Source organism: Homo sapiens, chromosome 13 (genome assembly GCF_000001405.40).
Source record: "Homo sapiens chromosome 13, GRCh38.p14 Primary Assembly".
In the NCBI taxonomy this organism is placed as follows: domain Eukaryota; kingdom Metazoa; phylum Chordata; class Mammalia; order Primates; family Hominidae; genus Homo; species Homo sapiens.
In genome coordinates this window covers 18,252,745-18,276,312 of record NC_000013.11, presented here as the reverse complement: position 1 = coordinate 18,276,312, position 23,568 = coordinate 18,252,745, and the positions used below count along the sequence as shown (strand labels likewise).

At 54.7% G+C, this 23,568-nt stretch overlaps 2 pseudogenes; both read left to right on the top strand.

The window, feature by feature from the left end:
* The first annotated feature begins 4,688 nt into the window (after positions 1-4,688).
* On the top strand, positions 4,689-15,013 carry GGT4P (gamma-glutamyltransferase 4 pseudogene; annotated as a pseudogene).
* On the top strand, positions 17,742-22,950 carry LOC101060145 (glutathione hydrolase light chain 1-like; annotated as a pseudogene).
* The last annotated feature ends 618 nt before the right edge of the window (positions 22,951-23,568 follow it).

Here is a 23,568-nt window from a genome sequence, read left to right as displayed (position 1 = left end):
GTGTCTCCGGGTGAGTGAGGCTTGCACATTTCTCGGGACAGGGAACTCACTACCTTATGTGCCCAGGACAAGAGCTGTGGGGTCTGGAGAAGACTTCTAGGCCAGCCCCTGCAGTCTTTCCTCAGGTGACATGGCTTCCCCAGACCCACTTCCCCCTAGGTGCCCTCTCTGCATTCAGGGGGTAGAGGGCTGACTGGGACAGAATGTGACACACTCAGCAAGTGAGGAAAAGCCTCCTTCATTCTGTAGGCCCTACCTCTATTAACATGTCCTTTGATAAAGTGCCTCCCCTCCTGTCTCCCCTCTCTGGAATCCTCAGCTGCTGCCAGGCTTCAGCTGTGCCCCATGGAAGGCAGCTCTGTCTCCCTACTTTCCCCAGCCCAGGGTTTTCCTTTTGGGGTCAGCTGCAGGGATCTGGGCCATCCTTTACCCACTCAGACTTTCTTCCTGCCCACCTGCTGCTGTGAATCCTGTATGTCATATATATATATATATATAATATATTATATAATTATTATATTTATGTAATTTATATAATATAATATATTATAAATATATATAGTATTATATATAAAATTATACTTTAAGTTCCAGGGTACATGTGCACAACGTACAGGTTTGTTACATATGTATACATGTGCCATGTTGGTGTGCTGCACCCATTAACTTGTCATTTACATTAGGTATATCTCCTAATGCTATCCCTCCCCCCTCCCCTCACCCCACCACAGGCCCCAGTGTGTGATGTTCCCCTTCCTGTGTCCAAGTGTTCTCATTGTTCAATTCCAACCTATGAGTGAGAACATGCATGTCTTATAGGCTCTCAGGCAGAGAGGAAACTGCTGAGCAGGGCAGGGGACAGAGCCCTATGGCTCTCCACTTTAGACCCCTCCCGGCTGACTGCCATGGAATTCAGCCACTTAGCAGGGCCAAATCCCCTGATGTTCCTGTTGGCTGTCTAGCCTTCAGGGACAGGTCATGGGGCCTTGGTTCCTGCCCTGTCATCTTCCTAGTCACCCTGATCTTCAGGGGGAGGAATAGCCTGAGAAAGGGCTTGGTCATAGCACCTCCACCCTAGGGCTATTGAGGATCTCACAGTTGTGTGTCTGGTGGGTTCTGTCCAGAGCCCATTTGAGAGCAGTGGATGACAGGACAGGCCTATGTGACCCAGGCAGGCAGCAATATTGGGTCAGCCTTCATGTCCCCTTCTGTCAGCTTGGGGCAGCTTGGAAGGATGATTGTGGGGTAGGTGTTATGGGCACGGAATAGACCTCAGGTGGAGGCTGCAGGGGCTCTCCGGCACTGTAGACCAGGATCAGGGGAGGGAGCCATGACTCAGGGAGACTCTGGCCCATATCCTTGGCAGATGAGGGCCACAGGGGAATGGGCAGCACTGTCCAAAGTCCCCTGGGCTGGGTCCGCAGCTGTTCCTGGCTCAGACTTCTTGGTGGGCTGGTCAGAAACATGCAGTAACTTGGGGCAGTTACCAGGTGGCCAAGTCTGCACTGCTGGGCTCTGTGAGCTTGGGCCAGCTCAGGCCCTCTCTGGGCCCTGCCTTTCTGGGCTGTTCAGGTGGTTCCTTGGGCCTGGGGTGCTAATGTTTCTGGATGGGCAGCAGAACCAGTCTGCACTCAGGGCCCCAGGCCATGTTCCTGGAACACACCTTTAGCATTGACAGCAGCGTGTGGTGAGGCCCCTTAGTCTGGGTTCTGGTCTAGTGCCAGGGGCACCACTACTCCACCGCCTCCAGAGCCATCTCTGGGACACTGGCTGTGAGTTCAGATGTTCTGAACAGGGACAGGGAGAGCCAGAGGGACCCAGCCTGGGGCTCTCTGGAGGGGCTCGTGGGCAGACAGTGCCCTTTGGAGGGAACTGAGTCTGAAAGGAAGGAAACCCTTTCCCCGGCTCATAGCACCTGCCATCCAGGGCCCTGCCAGGGCTGCGTGAACTTTAGTCATGCGATGACAGGCCGAGTCACCGTGCCAAGTCACTGTGCGCCTCCTTGCTGCTGTGACGTCAGCTTCCCCATCCTCCCAGCCAGGCTGGATCTCTGTGAGAGGCCTGCCTGTCCTGCACCCTGTGCGGATGCCTCCCACTGTCCACCAGGGCTGCTGGGCACCCCCTGGCTGGTCTCTTGGACTAGGTAAGCTCATGGGTCCTCCGGCCGCTCCTGCTCTTTCCCTGCCTCTGCTCCTCCTCGGAGGTGGCCACCCCCAGATCCCAGTCCCAATTTGGAGGCCCCCTGAGGAGTGCTGCAGGGGGCCGCAGGCGTGGCTCTGAGCCACTCTGGAGAGTGGGGGTGCCCAGCCAGTTCTGTGGCTGGGACTTTCCCAGGCAGACAAGTCTGTCTCTTCCTCCCCAGCAGGTGCAGCCCAGAACTGTCTTCTGAGGAAGAGGTGCTCTCCTGGGCCCCCACTGTCCCCAGGCCTCAGGTAAGCCCATCAGGGTCACAAGGAAGGGGGTCTGGGTTTGAGGCCAACCATGGCAGCTGACCTACTTTCTAGCCTCAGTTTCCCCTAGTGTGTGCAGCTCTCACACTGTTTGGGTGAGAACCAGGCCTCTGGGCTTGGACATTCTTTCAGTGAGTTTTGAGGGTGGAGGGATGGGAAATGGAAGCCCAGGACCTCAGCAGGGTGTCTTCCTCCGAGCCGTGGACATCTGCCTGTGGGAGGCTGGGCCCACCCTCCCTTGCTGACCTGCTCTGGGAGGAAGGGACAGGGCCCAGCACTGCCTACTCCCCTCCCTGTTCTTCCCAGCAGTCTGAGCCTGGCTGGGTGCCCCCTGCTCCTCCAGGTGCCTACTTGGGCCTTTGGGTAGAGAGATTAACAGACGGGGGAGGCTGGGTCATGGTTGGACCACCCCAGGATCCTGACTGGGGGCTCAGCTCATGACCCTGAGCCTGGGAGAGATGAGGCCATGCCCTCCAGGGCACTCAGCATGACCCGGCCCAGTGGACGGGACTGGATAGCTTCCTTGGTGCAGGGGGCTGTCATGCTAGGACAGGGTCACTGACCAGGCCAGGCCCCTGCCCCATGACTTGTGGTGGAAATGTCCTTTTGTTTTTGTTTTTTGCTTTTTTTTTTGAGACGGAGTTTCCCTCTTGTTGCCCAGGCTGGAGTGCAGTGGTGCAATCTTGCCTCACTGCAACCTCCACCTCCCGGGTTCAAGCAATTCTCCTGACTCAGCTCCTGAGTAGCTGGGATTACAGGCACCTGCCACCATGCCAGGCTAATTTTTTGTATTTTTAGTGGAGATGGGGGTTTCACCATGTTGTCCAGGCTGGTCTCCAACTCTTCACCTCAGGTGATCCACCTGCCTCTACCTCCCAAAGTGCTGGGATTATAGGCGTGAGCCACTGCACCCGGCCATGTGATGGGAATGTTCTGTGTCCATAATAGATGCTGCATATTGCTGGCCCAGCTCCTGAGGCTCTTTGGACCTCCAGGAATCGGTGTCTCTATCAGGAACCCTTAACCCTGACCCGGACTCCCGGCTGGGACCCAGGGTGTTGGAGTGGCAGGAGCGCTGTCAGGCTTGGTGAAGGGTGTGAGCTGTCCAACGGGGCAAGGAGGAGGCAGGGCCTGTTCTGTAGTTGGACAGACAGAGCCCTCTAGCTGCTTTCTGGAAGACTGAAGGGCAGGTGATGTTGGAGGGAGGGAGTGCAGGCAGGGGCTGTGAGGGAGTTCAGATCAGAAACAGGTGGCGCCTGGATTCAGGCTGTGGTGGTCACGGTGGGGATGAGGGGCTGCTTTGGATTGTGCTGGGGATGTGCGGTGGTGCGCTGCTGTGTGGCTACTGCCAGGTCTCTCTGCTCTTGGTGTCTGCATCCAGGGCTGGGAGGGGGTCAAATGTATCACACTATCAGCCCCAGGCCCACCAAGCCTGGGGAGGTGGCCACCCTTCCACGATGGCATTTGGATGTTCCCTGTGTGTGGGGAGGGCACAGGGACTCCATTCGTAGACCACCTCTGGGACAGTGTGTCTGCCTCTGAGGTCAGACGCTCTGCACTGGGACAGGGTGGAGTGGAGGGAAACCCAGCTTGGGGCTCATTGGAGGGGCTTGCTGGCAGACACCGCCCTTTGTGGGAAACTGACTGTGGGAGAGGGGAACCCCAACCTCTGTCACCACATCCCTCTTCCCTGTTGTCACACCTGTCACTTGCTGCCATAGCCATGAGACTTCCCAAGGGTCACTGCTGCCACTCACTGCACAGCCTGGAAGGGAGTCCACAGGGGACATAGAGTGAGCAAGAGACCTGTGCCACTCAGGCCTCCTGGGGGTGTCCCCAGTGCAGCCATGATGATAATCACAGCTACCATTCACCAAGTCCTGCCCACAGTCTAACCTACTCTATTCACAACACTCCCAGCAGCAAGGCAAGTGAGGTGCTGCCATCTTCCAGGCTGGACAGTTCAGTGATTTGCCTGAGGCCCCACAGCAGGTGAGTGGCAAGTCCAGCATCAGAGCAGGGAAGGCTGGCGGTGCCCCTTGAGCCCCCTTTGCCATGCTTACCACATGCACATCCTGGGCTTCTGCAGGAATGCCCTGTCCCCTACCTGCCCTGCTCCGTGCAAAACCCTCTTTGAGCTGTGCCTGGGAGAAATGCTGAGAGAATTCATGGAAACAAATGTGTTACTGACAGCCTCTTTGCCTCCAGAGTTCAACTGGAGACAGAGAAACCAGCTAGAGGCAGAGGGAGGTAACCCGGAGTCCCCCAGAAAGGTCTGGGCTGTGCGTGCTTCAGGTAACCTCCCTTGACCTTCAGGAGAACGAGAAGGCTGCCTGATCAGAGAGTCTCTGAAGAAGATTCTGTGGCTACAGGCTTCAGCAGAGTGTGAGGGAGACCCCAGTTATTTCCTCAGCTGTTTCCACCAAATCCTCCTGTCTTTCGTGGCCAACACCCCAGGCAAGGCTTGGGGCCCCCGTCTGCTGCTGGACGGTAAGTCCTGGCCCCGTGGCAGTGAATCTGTGGGGCACTCTGATTGTGGGCACTATGGAAGCTAAACCCCATGCTCCAGGTGGGGTGGAGGGTCTTCAGAGGACTCCTGGACAGTGCCAGGCTCTAGGCTGGGGTGGGGGACACAGGAGAAACCAGGCCAGGCCCATCCCTGCTGGAGCTTCTCCCTAAGCAGTGGAGGCTCAGCCACTGTGAGGAGGTAGGCCAGGCCCTGCAGAAAGAGGGGTGTGGAAATCTGGGGGCTCCCAGGAAGGGCCACTGCTGGAGATGGGGTTCTTACCAGGATGGGCTCTGAAGACAAGCAGGGAGGATTTGGGAGGGTAGAGATGAGGCCCAGAGCTTCTGGCAGAGGGCATGGCCTGCACAAAGGTCTGGGGGCCGGACAGCCTGTACGTATTCTGGGAAGCAGGAAGGAGACACAGGCCTTGTGTTTCTGAGGCCCGACTTTAGACTGTGCCCTGTTGGGGAGGGGCCAGGGAATGTCTGAGGCTGGGCCTGACCCTGCTCCTTACCCCGTGGGAGCAGCAGAGCCATGAAGAAGAAGTTAGTGGTGCTGGGCCTGCTGGCCGTGGTCCTGGTGCTGGTCATTGTCAATCTCTGTCTCTGGCTGCCCTCAGCCTCCAAGGAACCTGACAACCATGTGTACACCAGGGCTGCCGTGGCTGCAGATGCCAAGCAGTGCTCGGAGATTGGGAGGTGAGCGGGGCAGGGCATGGGACATGGGCCCTGAAAACTGGGCAAGTGGACCTGAGCAATACGTTCACCCCTCTGAGACTCAGTTTCCCCACATGTAAGCTTCGCTTGGACTCCCTCAGTAGCCTTTGGGAAGGGGACGGTGACTCCGAGAGCAGGGTGTGGGTCTCTAGAGCCAAACAGGCCCCTTTTCTCAGTTCTAAGAGTCTCTGTCTCTTTGGATAAACTCCACTGTTTTGTTGTTTGGTTGCTATTTTTACTTATTTCTTCCTATCTATCTATCTATCTATCTATCTATCTATCTATCTATCTATCTATCTATTTAGAGATGGAGTTTTGCTCTGTTGCCAGGCTGGAGTGCAGTGATGCAATCTCAGTTAACTGCAACCTCCGCCTCCCAAGTTCAAGCGATTCTCATGCCTAAGCCTCCCAAGTAGCTGGGATTACAGGTGTGTGCCACCACGCCCAACAAATTTGTGTGTGTGTGTGTGTGTGTGTGTGTGTGTTTGTTTCCGAGACAGAGTATTGCTCTGTTACCCAGGCTGGAGGGCAGTGGTGCAATCTTGGCTTACTGCAGCCTCCCCCTCCCAGGTTTAAGTGATTCTCCTGCCTCAGCCTCCACAGTAGCTGAGACTACAGGCATGTGCCACCATGCCTAGCTAATTTTTGTATCTTTAGTAGAGACAGGGTTTTGCTATGTTGGCCAGGCTGGTCTTGAACTCCTGACCTTGTGATCCTCCCACCTCTGCCTCTCAAAGTGCTGGGATTACAGGTGTGAGCCACTGTGCCTGGCCTAATTATGGTGTTTTTAGTAGAGATGGGGTTTCACCATGTTGGTCAGGCTGGTCTCGAACTCCTGACCTCAGGTAATCCACCCACCTGGGCCTCCCAAAGTGTTGGGATTACAGGTGTGAGCCACCATGCCCGGCTTATTCTTTTCTTTTTATTTTTTGGTTAGGAGACAATTTCTTTCTTTCTTTTTTTTATTTTATTTTATTATTATTATACTTTAAGTTTTAGGGTACATGTGCACAATGTGCAGGTTTGTTACATATGTACACATGTGCCATGTTGGTGTGCTGCACCCACCAACTCGTCATTTAGCATTAGGTATATCTCCCAATGCCATCCCTCCCCCCTCCCCCGAAGGAACGCTGTTGCCCAAACAGGGACATGAAGGGCTTATTCTTTTTTTAAGGTGGAGTGTTACTCTGTCACCCAGGCTGGAGTATAGGGGAGCGATCATAGCCCACTGCAGCCTCAAACTCTTGGATTTAAGTGATCCTCCCGCCTCAGCTTCCTAAAGTGCTGGGATTACAGGTGTGAGCCATGGTGCCTGGCTTCTACTGTTTTATTCTATTTTGGGCTCTTATCTCATGTTATATATAAAGATCAGTTCCCTTCTAAAGACTTAAACAGAAAAAATATTATGTTTTTCATATTTTGAGACAGGGTCTTGTTCTGTCACCCAGGCTGGAGTGCAGTGGCATGATCATAGCTCACTGCAGCCTTGAACTCTTGGGCTCAAGCGATCCTCCCACCTCAGCCCCCTGAGTAGCTAGGACTACAGGCGTGCATCACACCTGACTAATTTAAAAAGACTGTTTTGTAGAGACGGTCTCACTCTATTGCCCAGGCTGGTCTTGAACTCCTGGCCTCAAGTGATCCTCCACCTTGGCCTCCCAAAGTGCTGAGATTACAGGTGTAAGCCACCATCTCTAGCAGGGAAAAAAAAATGTTATTAATAAAGTATAGCAATTTCCCTTTTTGTCCCAATTATAAAAGTCATGTACATTTGTTTGCTTGATAAAGAGGAAACTGTCTGGGCAAGGTGGTCCACACCTGTAATCCCAGCACTTTGGGGGGTTGAGGCGGGCAGACCACCCGAGGTCAGGAGTTTGAGACTAGCCTGGCCAACATGGTGCACTCTGTCCCTACTAAAAATATAAAAAGTTAGCGGGGCATGGTGGTGTGCGCCTGTAATCCCAGCTACTCAGGGGCTGAGGCAGGAGAATCGCTTGAACCCAGGAGGCAGAGGTTGCAGTGAGCTAAGATCATGCCACTGCACTCCAGCCTGGGCAACTGAGTGAAACTCTGTCTCAGAAAAAAAAAAAAAGAAAGAAAAGAAAAAGAAGAAACTGTAATCCCAGCACTTTGGGAGGTTGAGGCGATAGGATTGCTTTAGACCATGAGTTCGAGACCAGCCTGGGCAACATAGAAAGACCCTATCTCTACAAAAAAGACAAAAAATTGCCCAGTGTGGTGGTTCTTACCTGTAGTCCCAGCTACTCAGGAGACTGAAGTGGGAGCATTGCTTGAGCCCAGGAGGTCAAAGCTGCATTGAGCCAAGACTGTGCCACTGTACTTCATCCTGGGTGACAAAGTGAGACCCTGTCTCATAAAACAAAGGCTGGGCACAGTGGCTCATGCCTGTAATACCAGCACTTTGGGAGGCCAAGGTGGGTGGATTACTTGAGCACAGGAGTTCTTGACCAGCCTGGGCAACATGATGAAACCCCATCTCTACAAAATACACAAACAAACAAAATTGGCTGGGCATGGTGGCATGTGGCCACAGTCCCAGCTACTTGGGAGGCTGAGATGGGAGGGTCAATTGAGCCCAGGAGACTGAGGCTGCAGTGATCTGAGATCACACCACTGCACTCCAGCCTGAGCAACAAAGAGAGACTTTGTCTCAAAAAAAAAAAAATAAAAGAGGCCAAGGCAGGCAGATCATGAGGTCAAGAGATAGAGATCATCCTGGCCAACATGGTGAAACCCCGTCTCTACTAAAAATACAAAAATTAGCTGGGCGTGGTGGCATGCACCTGTAGTCCCAGCTACTCAGGAGGCTGAGGCAGGAGAATGGCTTGAACCCGAGAGGCAGAGGTTGCAGTGAGCTGAGATCGTGCCACTACACTCCAGCCTGGCAATAGAGCAAGACTCCATCTCAAAACAAAAAAGAAAGAAACTAAAAACAAAAACCCCAAAACTCGAATGGACTTCTCTTCCATCCTCCTTTGGGCAGGTAGGCAGCAGGGTATGTATGCGGTGCCAGGGTGGAAGCCTGCAGGTTCTCGTGCCTTTATGTGCCACATGGCAGGGACACACTGCGGGATGGTGGCTCTGCGGTGGATGCAGCCATTGCAGCCCTGTTGTGTGTGGGGCTCATGAATGCCCACAGCATGAGCATCGGGGGTGGCCTCTTCCTCACCATCTACAACAGCACCTCTCATGAATGCCTCGGAAGAGGAGAGGGAGAGGGGCAGGGGTTGTGGGTTGGGCCGAGGCACAGCTGGGTGGCCCCCAGGCTCACGTGGCATAAAGGGTTTGGGTGGGTGGGCCTGCCTACCTGCTTCTCCTTCTAGGAAAAGCTGAGGTCATCAATGCCCGCGAGGTGGCCCCCAGGCTGGCCTTTGCCAGCATGTTCAACAGCTTGGAGCAGTCCCAGAAGGGTAAGCCATGCTGCAGACTTGGGGCATGGGTGCAGAGCTGGCTGAGCCACCGGGAAGGGGCCTTGCCCACAGGAGCCTGCTCCCGTCAGGGTTCAGGGGCAGTTCTAGCACCCCCCATCCCTTCCTGGCCCCATAGCACCCTCCCACAATGAGTGGTCAGGACCATCATCACCACGGTAAAGGGCCGGGAGCTTCTGTTATTTCTGCTAAGGCCTCCGGGGCCATTCTGTGCAGCACATGGAAAGAATAATTATTATGCTAGCAGACCTCATGGACCAGGGCTCACTGGGGCCCACGCTCTGCTCTGTGCTTTTCACCCACGAGCTTCTCACAACCCTCCCTGCTCCTTTGGGCTAGGGGATGCTGTGTGGATTCCCATTTTACAGGGTGGGGATGCTGAGGCTCAGACAGGTCATGCAAATCAGCTGAGGTCACACAGCTGGGAGGTGGTGAAGCTAAAATTGATCCCAGGCTGTCTATATCCTGCCTTTTCAACAGGCATCCCATTCACTCATTTGTTCATTTGTGGGGATGGCGCTCTAGAATGTGAGGTGGAGTCTCTCTTTTCTAATCTGGTCTTAAGTGGAGAGGAGGCCCCCAAATTCCCCAGGTACCTGAAGGGAAGCCACTGTCCATCCAGGAAGCCACTGTCTGACCCCAAAGGAGGCACAATAGATTGTGAGATAAAAGTTGGAGGATGGGAGGGTCTCAACAACTCAACACCTCTAATCCTAGCACTTTAGGAGGCCAAGTCAGGAGGAGTGCATGAGCCCAGGAGACCTGCCTGGACAACATAGCAAGACTCCATCTCTACAAAAAAATGGAAAAAAAAATTAGCTAGGTATGGCGGTGTGTGCTTATGGTCCCAGCTACTTGGGAGGCTAAGGTGGGAGGATCACTTGAGCCCAGGAGGTTGAGGCTGCAGTGAGCCATGATTATACCACTACACTCTAGCTTGGGCAACAAAGTGAGACCCTGTCAAAAAAAAAAAAAAAAGGTTGGGCCTTTTTTTCACAGGCTCACGCCTGTAATCCCAGCACTTTGGGAGGCTGAGGCAGATGGATCACCTAGGTCAGGAGTTCAAGACCAGCCTGGCCAACATAGTGAAACCCATTCTCTACTAAAAGTACAATAAGTCAGGCGTGGTGGCACAGGCCTGTAATATCCCAGCTACTCAGGAGGCTAAGGCAGGAGAATCGCTTGAACCCAGGAGGTGGAGATTGCAGTGAGCCGAGATCATGCCACTGCACTCCAGCCTGGGCAACAAGAACGAAGCTCCGTCTCAAAAAAAAAAAAAAAAAGTTGGAGGATGGAGGGGCAGGACACACTCACCATAGCAGGTCTTAGACTTCAGGTGGGGGTCCTGGGTGGTGCCCTTTGGAGTCTTCTGCAACATACTCAATCTTTGATTTTTTTTTCTTTTTTTTTTTTTTTTTTTGAGACAGAGTCTCACTCTGTCGCCCAGGTTGGAGTGCAGTGGTGCGATCTCGGCTCACTGCAAGCTCTGCCTCCTGAGTTCACGCCATTCTCCTGCCTCAGCCTCCCGAGTAGCTGGGACTACAGGCGCCTGCCACCACGCCCGGCTAATTTTTTGTATTTTTTAGTAGAGGCGGGTTTTCACTATGTTGCCCAGGCTGGTCCCTCGATCTCCTGACCTCGTGATCCCCCTGCCTCGGCCTCCCAAAGTGCTGGAATTACAGGCGTGAGCCACTGTGCCCCACCAATCTTTCATTTGTTTTTAATACTCATTGAGAAACTCAGCATCTGTAGACATGAAGTTGCTCAGGGTAAGAGAATGCGGGAATCATAGGCTTGGCACCTTGTGGATGCTTAGAATCATTTATTTAACTAGAATGTATTGAGCATTGTCTTAAAGAATCAGCTGTTGTTCCTGAAGCTGGGGTGAAAAACAAAGACGGCAGATGAAATCTGTGACACTCCAGGTGGGAAAAGAAACTAGGCAGGTGCCGGTATGTTACGGGCTGTAGAAAAACAGACCTGGAGGGCCTCAAAATCTGGGACTCTATGGAGGGTGACCTAGTCAGGGAAGGGGACATCTGAGCAAAGACCCAGAGGCAGAGATGGGGTCGGGGGAGTTATCTCCTGGTCTGCTATCCAGGTGTGATGGCAGGGACAGAGCCCTGTGGGGAGCTGGGGAGGCTGCAGCAAGTGATCCAAGGGGAATGGCCCAGGTTGTGCGGGATCTCTTAGGTTATGGTGAAGCCTCTGCTTCCTGTCTGAGGGAAGTGGGGGCTCGTGGAGTGTGTGAGTGGAAGGGGATGGATCTGGCCTATGGACCCCTTGGATTGCTGTGTAAGGGGCAGGGAGCATGTGGGGACCTGTCCGGAGGTCACTGCAGTAATTCGTGGAGAGGGTGCTGGGAAGTGGCTGATGCTGGACAGACACACTTGGAAGTGGAGCCTGTGGATTTGAGGATGGGGTGGGTGTGATGCTTGTGTAGGGAGTCCCCAGGGACCCCTGATCTTTTGTCTGTACCTGGAAGGATGGGGTGACCCTAATGGAGGCAGGCAGGGTTCTCAGGAAGCAGGTTGAGCAGACACTCAGGAGCTCGGTTTTGGGCACGTTGAAGTTTGAGATGCTTTCTTCAAGCAGGCAGGTAGATACTCAGGTCTGGTGATCAGAGGAGCAGTCCAGGCCAGCAGGTCAATTTGGGAGTTGTCAGTGCATAAATGGAGGCTGAAGCTCAGATGTCAAGCAGACCACCAGGAGAGAGAGCAAAGACAGAGGGGAGAGTAGGAGCTAGGATGGCAGGCAGGGGATACTCGGGTGGAGCCAGGTGCTGGGATGCAGGGGCGGCTCTCAGGGAGAGTGATGAGCCCAGTAAAGCTGAGAGGGGCACTGGGTCTGGCAGTGTGGGTGTCACCAGAGAACTTGGCAAGTGTGGTGGCATGAGAGTCTGATTGGCCTGAGGTCAGGAGAAGATTTTTTTTCTGATGTTGATACATGATATTTTCTATATTTATGGGTACATGTGAGTGCTTGTTACATGCAGAGAGTGTATAATGATCAAGGCAGGGTATTTGGAGTCTCCGTCACCTTGAATATTTTTCTTTCTGGGTGTTAGCACCATAGTCCTCTCTTCATTACTTTGAAATATACAAAATACTGTTGCTAAGCATCGTCACCCTGGTCTGCTATCAAAGATTAGAACTTCTCCTGTCTTGGCTGGGCACGGTGGCTCATGCCTGTCATCCCAGCACCTTGGAAGGCTGAGGTGGGTGGATGACCTGAGGTCAGGAGTTTGAAACCAGCCTGGCCAACATGGCAAAACCCCATCTGTACTAAAAATACAAAAATTAGCCTGGCGTGCTGGCCTGTGCCTGTAATCCCAGCGACTCGGGAGGCTGAGGCAGGAGAATCGCTTGAACCTGGGAGGCGGAGGTTGTAGTCAGCTGAGATCATGCCACTGCACTGCAGTCTGGGAGACAGAGCAAGACTCCATCTCAAAAACAAACAAACAAAAAAACAAAACAAAACAAAAAAGAACTTCTGTCTAACCACAAGGTGGAAGGAATCATGTGCTGGGTGTCAGACCTTCCGGGATGTATGTGCAGCTTTTAGGAATTGAAACCACCAGCTCTTGGAAACTTGTGCCAGGCTTCAGGGTGGGAGAGGCAGTTTTAGAGCTGCAGCCGCCAAGCCAAGCCAAATGGCCCCATCATCTCTCGCAAGAGCAGGAGAGTACCTGGGGGCAGAGGCCATAGTTGTACCTTTCTAGGCAAAGGGTCAGTGTCTGTAGTGTCCATATGGGCAGTGGGGCTCGGGGGGAAGCAGGCCCAGGGGTCTGTTTCCAATGACCTCCTCAAAAGTCAGAACTGGAAGGCAAAACCCCGTATAGACTGGGTGCACCTGTAATCCCAGCATGTTGGGAGGCTGAGGTGGGAGGATTGCTTGAGGCCAGAGTTTGAGACCAGTCTTGGCAATGTAGCAAGACCCCTGTCTCTACAAAAAATAAAAATAAAAAATTAGGCTGGGAGTGGTGGCTCATGCCTCTAATCCCAGAACTCTGAGAGGCTGAGGAGGATGGATCACCTGATATTAGGAGTTCAAGACCAGCTTGACCAACCTGGTGAAACCCCGTCTCTGCTAAAAATGCAAAAATTAGCAAGCCATGGTTGTACATGCCTGTAATCCCAGCTACTTGGGAGGCTGAGGCAGGAGAATTACTTGAACTCGGGAGGTGGAGGTTGGAGTGAGCCAAGATTGTGCCATTGCACTCCAGCCTGGGCAACAAGAGTGAAACTCCATCTCAAAAAAAAAAAAAAAGCCACATGTAGTGGGGTATGTCTGTAGTCTTAGGTACTTCAGAGGCTGAGGTGGGAGGATCGCTTGAGCCTGGGAAGCCAAGGCTGCAGTGAGCCATGATTGCACCACTGCACTCCAGCTGGGACAACAGAGTGAGACCCTGTCTCAAAACAGACAAACAAACAAAAACCCTTATAGTTGGATGGAGAAACTGAGGCTGGGAGAGGGGACAGGATGGAGGTTAAGGCTCAGTCTTGCCTATCTGGGGCAGTAGAAAAGAGGAAGGGAGCCCTTTCTTGGGGCTGGCTGTGTCTTGAAGGTGGCCTGTGCTTGACCTGGGTCAGGGTGGGATCTGCTCTTGTTTTGGCACATTCTGGTGGAGCCCATGAGTCTTACAGGATAAGGCCTTGTGGTCAGTGAGATGGGAGGGGGTCTGGCCTGGCACAGGATTTTAGACATGCAGGCACCTGCACAGACAGACACCTCATCCTGGGACAGCAAAACCCAGCCGCATGCTACTGCTTCCCCTCCTGTGCCCTCCTCAGACATCCCTGGTCCATGTACACTCCTACCTGCTAAGCCCCTCTTAAAAAAAAAATTAAACATCCCCTCCTAAAAAAAATAATAAAATAAAAATCAGGAGGCTGAGGTGGGAGGATTGCTTGAATCCAGGAGTTCGAGATCAGGCTGGGCAAGATGGCAAGACCCCAACTCAAAAAAGAAAAAAAAAATCTTTCCTCCTAAGCCTCATTGCCCCATCTGTAAAACGAGTCAGGGACTGTGCCTGGGATGCTGCCTGCGAGAGATCCCGATGTCCCCCACTCAGGGTCACTAACTGTGGCTCTCTCTCCCCAGGAGGGCTGTCAGTGGCAGTGCCTGGGGAGATCCGAGGCTATGAGCTGGCACACCAGCGGCATGGGCGGCTGCCCTGGGCTCGCCTCTTCCAGCCCAGCATCCAGCTGGCCCGCCAGGGCTTCCCCGTGGGCAAGGGCTTGGCGGCAGTCCTGGAAAACAAGCGGACCGTCATCGAGCAGCAGCCTGTCTTGTGGCATGTCTGTGGGTGCGGCCCCCTGACACAGGCAGGGCAGGCACAGCCCAAGGACCTTGCAGGCCGTAGCAGCAGTGGAGCGGCCCTCTGCCTTCAGGACCCTGCGCTGATAATGGGATGAGGAGATACAGACCCTTCCCACCACGTGTGGGGACACATTCTGAGCGTGGGGACACATTCTGAGCGTGAGGTCCCAGTGGCCACTGTGGCTGGCCATGTGTCCTGAGTGGCAAGGGACACTAGAATGTTCCCGGAAGGGACACTAGGAGGATGAGCGCTGAGTGACAGGGCCACCCACCTGTGACAGGCGCTGCCCCTGCTTTGTGCTGGTCTCCTGTGTGGGCAGGTGTGGGGGGTGGTCTAGCTAAGTCCACCCCACCTGCTGCCTCACATGAGCCCCCTCTGCCCCAGTGAGGTGTTCTGCCGGGATAGAAAGGTGCTTCGGGAGGGGGAGAGACTGACCCTGCCGCGGGTGGCTGACACCTATGAGACGCTGGCCATTGAGGGTGCCCAGGCCTTCTACAATGGCAGCCTCATGGCCCAGATTGTGAAGGACATCCAGGCGGCCGTGAGTGGGTAACCTCAAGGGCCTGGGTAAGGAACTCTGCAGTGGAAACCCTGAGCTGTAGCCCAGAGCCATGGGGTCCTCCTGTCTTGCCTGAGCCTGCAGGAAGTTCCTGGTGGAGGAGGGTCAGTGACTAGCCATGTGGGTCCACAGCTCCTGCTTATATCAAAACCAAGAGAGGCCACACAGTCCAGGAGAGCAAGTCCCTGTTGGGGTAAATGCAGGTGTAGGCAAGAGCCAGGGCTAGGGAAGCACTAGAATACAGCCTGAAGATCCAGGAGGACTTCTTGGAGGAGGTGGCGGCTGGGCTGCAGATAACTTTGTTAGGCAGAGAGAGGAAGGGATTCCTAGCAGAGGAACAGCTGGGCTAAGGCCCAGTAGAGGGGGCTTTGATTCACCAAGGGGGTTACAAGGGATGAGGGTCGCCTTGAGAGAGGCATGGGGAAGGGGATTTGTGGGGCAGGGGCCTGGAGCTTGGCTGTGGCTTTCTTCAGGTAATTTTTGTCACTGTTTCATGGAGGAGGGTGATTAGCATGTCGACCTTTACTACTGAGGCTGGAAATTGGCGTGCCAATACCCTGTCTGTCTGGAGCTGACTCCAGGAGAATTAAGAGCCTCCCTCCCTCCCTCTATCCATTCATCGTGAGGAGAAGAGGCCAAGCAGCAGGGACACCGGCAGGAATTCTCCAGTTAGAAAAGGCCCTCTGAGCCAGGTGTGGTGGCTCACATCTGTAATCCCAGCACTTTGGGAGGCCGAGGCGGGTGGATCACCTGAGGTCAGGAGTTCAAGACCAGCCTGGCCAACATGGTGAAACCCTGTCTCTACTAAAAATGCAAAATTAGTCAGGCATGGTGGGTTGTGCCTGTAATCCCAGCTGCTTGGGAGGCTGTGGCAGGAGAATCGCTAGAACCTCGGGGGCTGAGGTTGCAGTGAGCTGAGATTGCACCACTGCACTCCACAGAGTGAGACTCCATCTCAAAAAAAAAAGAAAAAAAAGGCCCTCTGAGGCCAAGCTTGGTGTCTCATGTCTGTAATCACAACACTTTGGGAGGCTGAGGTAGAAGTTGAGGCCAGGAGGTCCAAGACAAGCCTGGGCAACATAGTGAGTCTACAAAAAAGTATTGAGAATCTACATAAATATAGTGGGGGTGGGGGTGGGGAACAAGAAAACAAAAAATTCAAAGCATAGTGAAAAGAAATATAGCAAAACCTGGCCGTGCATGGTGGCTCATGCCTGTAATCCCAGCACTTTGAGAGGTCGAGGCGTGTGGATACGGGGTCAGGAGATCGAGACCATCCTGGCTAACACAGTGAAACCTGTCTCTACTAAAAATACAAAAAAATTAGCCAGGTGTGGTGGCGGGTGCCTGCAGTCCCAGCTACTTGGGAGGCTGAGGCAGGAGAATGGCGTGAACCTGGGAAGCGGAGCTTGCAGTGAGCCGATATCATGCCACTGCACTCCAGCCTGGGCGATAGAGTGAGACTCCGTCTCAAAAAAAAAAAATAGCAAAACACAACAAAAAAAATTAAAATTTGCTGGGTGTAGTTGTGCCTTTAGTCTCAGCTACTGGGGAGGGTCTGCTGGAGGATCACTTGAGCCCGGGAGTTCAAGGCTGTGATTAAGCCACTGCACTCCAGCCTGGGTGACAGAGCAAGATCCTATCTCTAAAAAAAAAAAAAAAAAAAGAAAACACTCTCTGGCCACAGATGAGAGAAGGCAGACAGGAAGCCACTAAGCCAAGCAGGCAGAGGGCAGGTGGCCCCAGACCAGCTGTCGGGTGGTGAGCAGTGTCAGGGAGACAGGAGTGCCGGAGCTGGTGAGGTTCCCAAGGAGGTGAGGTTGCCTGTGGCCTCCTCCCAGGGCACAGTCCCACCCCTCCAGTAGTGCACTCTGTCCTCCTTTGTAGGTACAGGCTTTTCCTCACCACCATGGTGCAGCCATGCCTGCCCCCAACACCACTGGTGCAGCTCCATCCTCCACGCAGTGGTGCAGCCCCATCCCAGTGCCCATTCGAGCTGCTGTCCCGTCGCAGGGGGCATTGTGACAGCTGAGGACCTGAACAACTACTGTGCTGAGCTGATCGAGCACCCGCTGAACATCAGCCTGGGAGACGCGGTGCTGTACATGCCCAGTGCGCCGCTCAGCGGGCCCGTGCTGGCCCTCATCCTCAACATCCTCAAAGGTGAGTGGTCGCACCACAGCCGTGTGGTAGGACCCATGACACTGCCTCTCTCTCCCCACGCCCCACCCCTGCTGCATCTCTGCTCGCCCTCCATGCCACGTCTTTCCATCACTGAGCTCCCGAGGCGTGTCCCTGCGTCACAGCTCACCATGTCCTGAAGGAGGCAGTGCAGAGCGACAGGGCTGAAGCGGGCAATGCTCAAGGGTTGGAGGAGGAACAGGAGTCATCAGGAAGGAGAGAGGTGCAGGAGCTCAGGGCTGCAGGGCCTGGTCCAGAGGGTACCCTGGTCCAGTGGGTGACCCTGCCACTTGGTCACCGAATGGCCAGAGCTGATGCGTGACGTGAGGTCCAGGCTCGGGAGCCCTCACCTTACTTCACTCTCACCACAGCCTTCTGAAGCAGCTGCTGCTATTGGTTATTAAACGCTCCTTGAGGTGGGCAAAGTGGCTCAGGCAGGTGTTAACCCTCTGAGCCCCTCAGAGCCTCTGGGGCTCAGCAACATGCACCTGGCTCTGATCAACCAGGGTACAACTTCTCCTGGGAGAGTGTGGAGACCCCCGAGCAGAAGGGCCTGACGTACCACCGCATCGTAGAGGCTTTCTGGTTTGCCTACGCCAAGAGGACCCTGCTTGGGGACCCCAAGTTTGTGAATGTGACTGAGGTAAGGGGCAGGGGCTGGCCCACTGTGGGTGTGGGGCCTGCTGTAGAGGCATCAGGTGGGCTCCCCAGGGTGGCTACAGCCTCACATACGCTTTATGAATCCATTCCTGCCACGAACTTTGATTGCGGGCCTACTGTGTGCTCGGATGGACTGGTGGGTGACCCCCAGTCTTGGCTTCTGCCCCACAGAACTGACAGTGTGGGGAATTAGTGGCCACCCTCCTACCTCAGGTCCTTTGCACATGCTGTGGTTCTCGAGTGTTCAGTGCTGAGATGAGGAATGCATGGGGGCATTGCAGCCCTCGGGCATGGTGAGATGGATGGGTGAAAGGGAGAGGGCCAGGTGAACAGAGACCTCGGCCACCCACTCCCTGTCACTCCAAACTAACGCTTCCCAGATGCCACCCTCAGCCCTGCACCACCTGACCCACTCACTCAGTAGTTGCTCCAGCTCCACGCTGGGTCCCTATAAGACCCTGTCATATCCCTTCCCGCTGAGGATCCTCACATTCCTCCTTACCTACTTGGGTCCTTGGCATTCCTGGGTGGATCTGCAGACGCCCCCCACACTGACCAGTGACCTCCCAGGAGGGGCGTCAGCTGCCCGGGTGGTGTCTTCTCTTTCCCCGTGAGCATTCTGCACCTCTGACTCCCGCTGCAGCCAGTGACCTGATGTCTTGTCTCTCTGAGGGGACAGAGCCACTGCAGCGTGTCCCTCTGCCCTCCCTTTTGGCTAAGGCCAACTCTTTCATCTACTCGCTGGCTCAGGGTGCTGTTCCTACAATGCTCCTTTCTGCCTCTGACGATTTACTTCTTTATCACGGATTATTCCCAAAAGAAAGGCAGCTGTTGTTGCTCTAGAAATTTCTATCTGCTGCCTCCTTCTGTCCTTTGCTCCTCTTAGAGCAAACATGGCTGGGCTATGTCCTCTCTCCCTTCAGGGTATCCCCTCCCCTGCTCTATCCCCATGCCACCAGATCGCCATGTCCAGCCTCAGTTTCCCCATCAAGCCCCACTCAGCAGCATCTCACACAGCTCACCACACTCTCCTCGAGTTTTCATTTTGCAAATTTTCGCACTTACAAAAATGTAAAAAAAAACCAAAACTGCCCAAGCATCAATGTTCCCTTTTCCTGGAGTCTGCAGTGTGGACGTTTCTGCCGGATTTCCTAACTCTCTCCATCTCCACCCACATCTATTGGGATTCGTGTTTTTCTGAGGGATTCCACAGTAGGTTACTGATGTCACACCTCAGGGTGTGTCTCAAAAGTGAGACTTGAACATAGCACAGCAGGATGTCGGGGTGACACAACCTGCTGTCCCTTCTCTTTACCTACAGTAGGCTCCCTTGGCTGTTTTGTTTTTGTTGTGTTTTTGTTTGGACACAGAGTCTCTGTCATCCAGGTTGGAGTGCAGTGGTGTGATCTTGGCTCACTGCAGCCTCAACCTCCATGGCTCAAGCAATCCTCCCACTTCAGCCCCCTGAGCAGCTGGGACCAGAGGCACGTGCCACCAAACCTGGATAATTTTTGTATGTTTTTTAGAGACAGGGTCTTGCCCAGACTGGTCTCAAACTCCTGGGATCAAACTATCTTCCCACCTCAGCCTCCCAAAGTGCTGGGATTACAGGTGTGTGTGTTTTTTTTTTTGAGACAGAGTCTCTCTCTGTCACCCAGGCTGGAGTGCAGTGGCGCTATCTCAGCTCACTGCAAGCTCCGCCTCCTGGGTTCACGCCATTCTCCTGCCTCAGCCTCCCGAGTAGCTGGGACTACAGGCGCCTGCCACTGCGCCCAGCTAATTTTTTGTATTTTTAGTAGAGACGGGGTTTCACCGTGATTGCGATCTCCTGACCTCGTGATCCTCCTGCCTCGGCCTCCCAAAGTGCTGGGATTACAGGCATGAGCCACCGTGCCTGGCCTGTTTTGTTGATTTTTAAAGCCCAGGGCAGTAGTCTTGGAAAATGTCCCACATCATGGATTTGCCTTTCTGTTTCCTTGAGGGCAGTTTCAGACAGAACACCTTTCCCTCGGATTGGTCAACTAATCTGTGGGGTGTTGCTGAAACTTTATTTTATTTTATTTTATTTTATTGTATTTTATTTATTTTATTTTTGAGATGGAGTCTCGCTCTGTCCCCCAGGCTGTCGCCCAGGCTGGAGTGCAGTGGCGCGATCTCGGCTCACTGCAAGCTCCGCCTCCCAGGTTCACGCCATTCTCCTGCCTCAGCCCCCCAAGTAGCTGGGACTACAGGTGCCCACCACCGCGCCCAGCTAATTTTTTGTATTTTTAGTAGAGATGGGGTTTCACTGTGTTAGCCAGGATGGTCTCGATCTCCTGACGTCGTGATCCGCCCTCCCAAAGTGCTGGGATTACAGGCCTCGGCCTCCCAAAGTGCTGGGATTACAGGCGTGAGCCACCGCGCCCGGTGTGGAAACTCTCTTGAGGCATTTTCTTCGGCCTTCGGGTCCATCCTCTCTGTCTCCTCCTTGACCTCCTCATCTCCTCCTCGCCACTGCCTTGGGGACCTTGGCCAGGCTCATGGCATCCAGCAGCCACTCAATGTCAATACCTCCATGTTCATCTCTCAGCCCGCCCTTGCCCGTGAACCCATGCTTATTTATTTATTTTTTTTATACTTGCACCCATGCTGTTCAGGTCTGATGAAGTGTCCAAAATCAAGCTTCTGACCATCCCCAAACCTGCCCCTTCTGCAGGGTTTACCTCGCTAGTCAGCACCATCCTTGATTCTTCTCTTTCTCCCACCCAGGCCATCATCTCTTGCCTGGTTGATACCCACAGCCTCCCCTTTGGGATTTATCCTTATCCCCGTCATAGCTGCCAGAGGGACCCTGTGAAAACACTCCCCAGCCTGCTCATTCCTCTGCCCTAAGCCTGCATGGCACAGAGCAAAAGCCAGTTTTTATGGGACCTAGGAGGTCCTGTGGGATGGGCCCCAGCCTGCATCTTCATCCTCTTCTCCCCACCCCACTCCATTCACTCTCTGCCTATCGCTCACCAGCCTATACCACCTGCCTCAGGGCCTTTGCACTGACCATTTAGGCCGCATTCCAGGCTCTTTTCACACGTTGCCTCCTCTGAGAAGCCCTCCCTGACCACTCTGCCCATACCTCATGCCTCTTGATTCCCCTTACCTGGCTTGTGGTTTCAGCACTTTCCCTGTGTGTGTTTGTTTTTCTTGGCATGAGGGCAGGACCTAAAACTGTCTGTTCCCTGTTGATTCCCCAGTGCCAGGCATGCAGTGCAAACTCTAGAAATATTTTTTGCATGAAGGAATGAGTGATTGAATGCAGCAAGGGTCTGGAGGCTGAGGACCAGGCAGACAGACATTCAGAGTTGCTGAAACGCAACAGAGACAGGGAGTCAGACTGGTCATGCAAGGTCCTGGGCCTGCCCTTGGGTCCTGGGGAGCCACGGAAGGTTGTGGGTGCCAGAGGGTTTTGGTCAGAGTCACAGTCAGGGGCCTTCTGAGACCTGTGCCCCCTCCCCACCCTCCCTCCCCACCTCCTCAGGCCAGCTCTGGGGTCTCGGCAGGTGGTCCGCAACATGACCTCTGAGTTCTTCGCTGCCCAGCTCTGGGCCCAGATCTCTGACAACACCACTCACACGATCTCCTACTACAAGCCCAAGTTCTACACGCCGGATGACAGGGGCACTGCTCACCTGTCTGTCATCACAGAGGACGGCAGTGCTGTGTCCGCCACCAGCACCATCAACCTCTAGTAGGGGCTGCTGGGCCGCCTGGGTGGGAAACTGCCAGAGGTGGGTGGCCCAGGGACCACCCACTTATCCAGTCAGGTGGCTCCATCACCTCTTTTCCTGGTGGGAAACTGAGGCCCAATCTTGGTAGCTTATCCTGGGCCTCTCAGTGAGTATGTTTCAGCCTCAGTGGGTGGATAGGGACCAGGCTGGGCCAGGCAAGGTCGGGCGCTGTCTGACCCTGCTGGGCGGTAGCTTTGGCTCCAAGGTCTGCTCCCCGGTCAGCGGGATCCTGTTCAATAATGAATGGACGACTTCAGCTCTCCCAGCATCACCAATGAGTTTGGGGTACCCCCCTCACCTGCCAATTTCATCCAGCCAGGTATGGGGTGGAGGTCCGGGGGTGGGGGACTGGGGTGGAGAGGGGCGGGTGTCCTGGGCAGGCAGCTGACGGGCATCCCTGTCTTCTCCCATCAGCCGCAGGGAAGCAGCCGCTCTCGTCCATGTTCCCAACGATCATGGTGGGCCAGGACGGCCAGGTCCGGATGGTGGTGGGAGCTGCTGGGGGCACGCAGATCACCACAGCCACTGCACTGGTATGCGTCACCCCTTTTCTCCCTGGCCCTGCCCACTCCGCACAGCCCCCAAGCCATGCTGATCACACTCCCATGCCCCAGGCCATCATCTACAACCTCTGGTTCGGCTATGACATGAAGCGGGCCGTGGAGGAGCACCGGCTGCACAACCAGCTTCTGCCCAACATCACGACAGTGGAGAGAAACATTGACCAGGTGGGCCAGGGGTTGGAGAAACTGAGTCATGGTGTGTGGCCCCAGGGCATCCTGGGCTGGAGGCCTGGATCATCACAGAGTGAACAATGGTTGGTGTCCTCTCTCTAGTGCCTGGGCCATCTGGAGCCCCTGTGCCATGAGGGCCAAACCCCCTGCTCCAATGAGACCCAGCAGGCCCCAACCTGCTCTTCCTGATGACCTGGCCTGAAATGGCACCACCTGGGCTGAGGCCTGTGACCACACAGGCGTGGTTCAGGTGGCATCTGGAGCCCTGCTCAGCCTTCCCCTCTCCCCCCACCCCCAGGCAGTGACTGCAGCCCTGGAGACCCGGCACCATCACACCCAGATCGCGTCCACCTTCATCGCTGTGGTGCAAGCCATCGTCCGCACGGCTGGTGGCTGGGCAGCTGCCTCAGACTCCAGGAAAGGTGGGGAGCCTGCCGGCTACTGAGTGCTCCGGGCAGACAAGGCTGACAAGCAATCCAGGGACAAGATACTCACGAGGACGAGGAAGAGGACTTTGGGGGACGGGCTTCCCCTGTGAGCAGCAGAGCAGCATAATAAATGAGGCCACTGTGCCAGGCTCCAGGTGGCCTCCCTGGCCTGTCTCCCCACTCTCTGGGCCTCAGTGTATTGTGTGTGAAATGGAGCCATCTGGCTGGGGAGGAACAGAGAGGTGGGATTCGGAGATCTTCACAATGCGGGCACTGGAACTAGCCTCAGCATCTTCAGCATGGGGAGAGCCGGGCACATGGCTGGGGGCCAGGGGAAGGTTCACACCAAACCCTGCCCCTTCCCACCCTGATCCCTCGGACTTTGGGGCCAGGCCCTCCCTTACTGGGGCTGGGCAGTGACACTACCTAGGATCAGCCACCAGGGGGTGTCACGACCCTGGCGCTTTCTTAGGCAGAGGGTGGCCAGCTGATGCTGGGAACCTGGGCGCCTTCTCAGACCCGTAGGCCTCCAGCTCACCCTGCCGATGACACTGGCGGTGAAGCTGAGGTCCGAGGAATGGGGACTGGGCAACAGGCTGGAGGAAAACATCTCGGTCAGAGCCACGCCCCTCGGGGGTTCCCAAGAGCAAGCCCAGAGTGAAACCCAAGCTTGTGATCCTCTCCAGAGGGAGGCCTGGTTCTCAGGGAACAGCAAACGGGAAGATGTCCCCAGATCCCAGGGATCAGGGCTTGGACCAGCTGGGGACGCAGCCCAGAGGGAGTGGGTCCAGAAGGAAA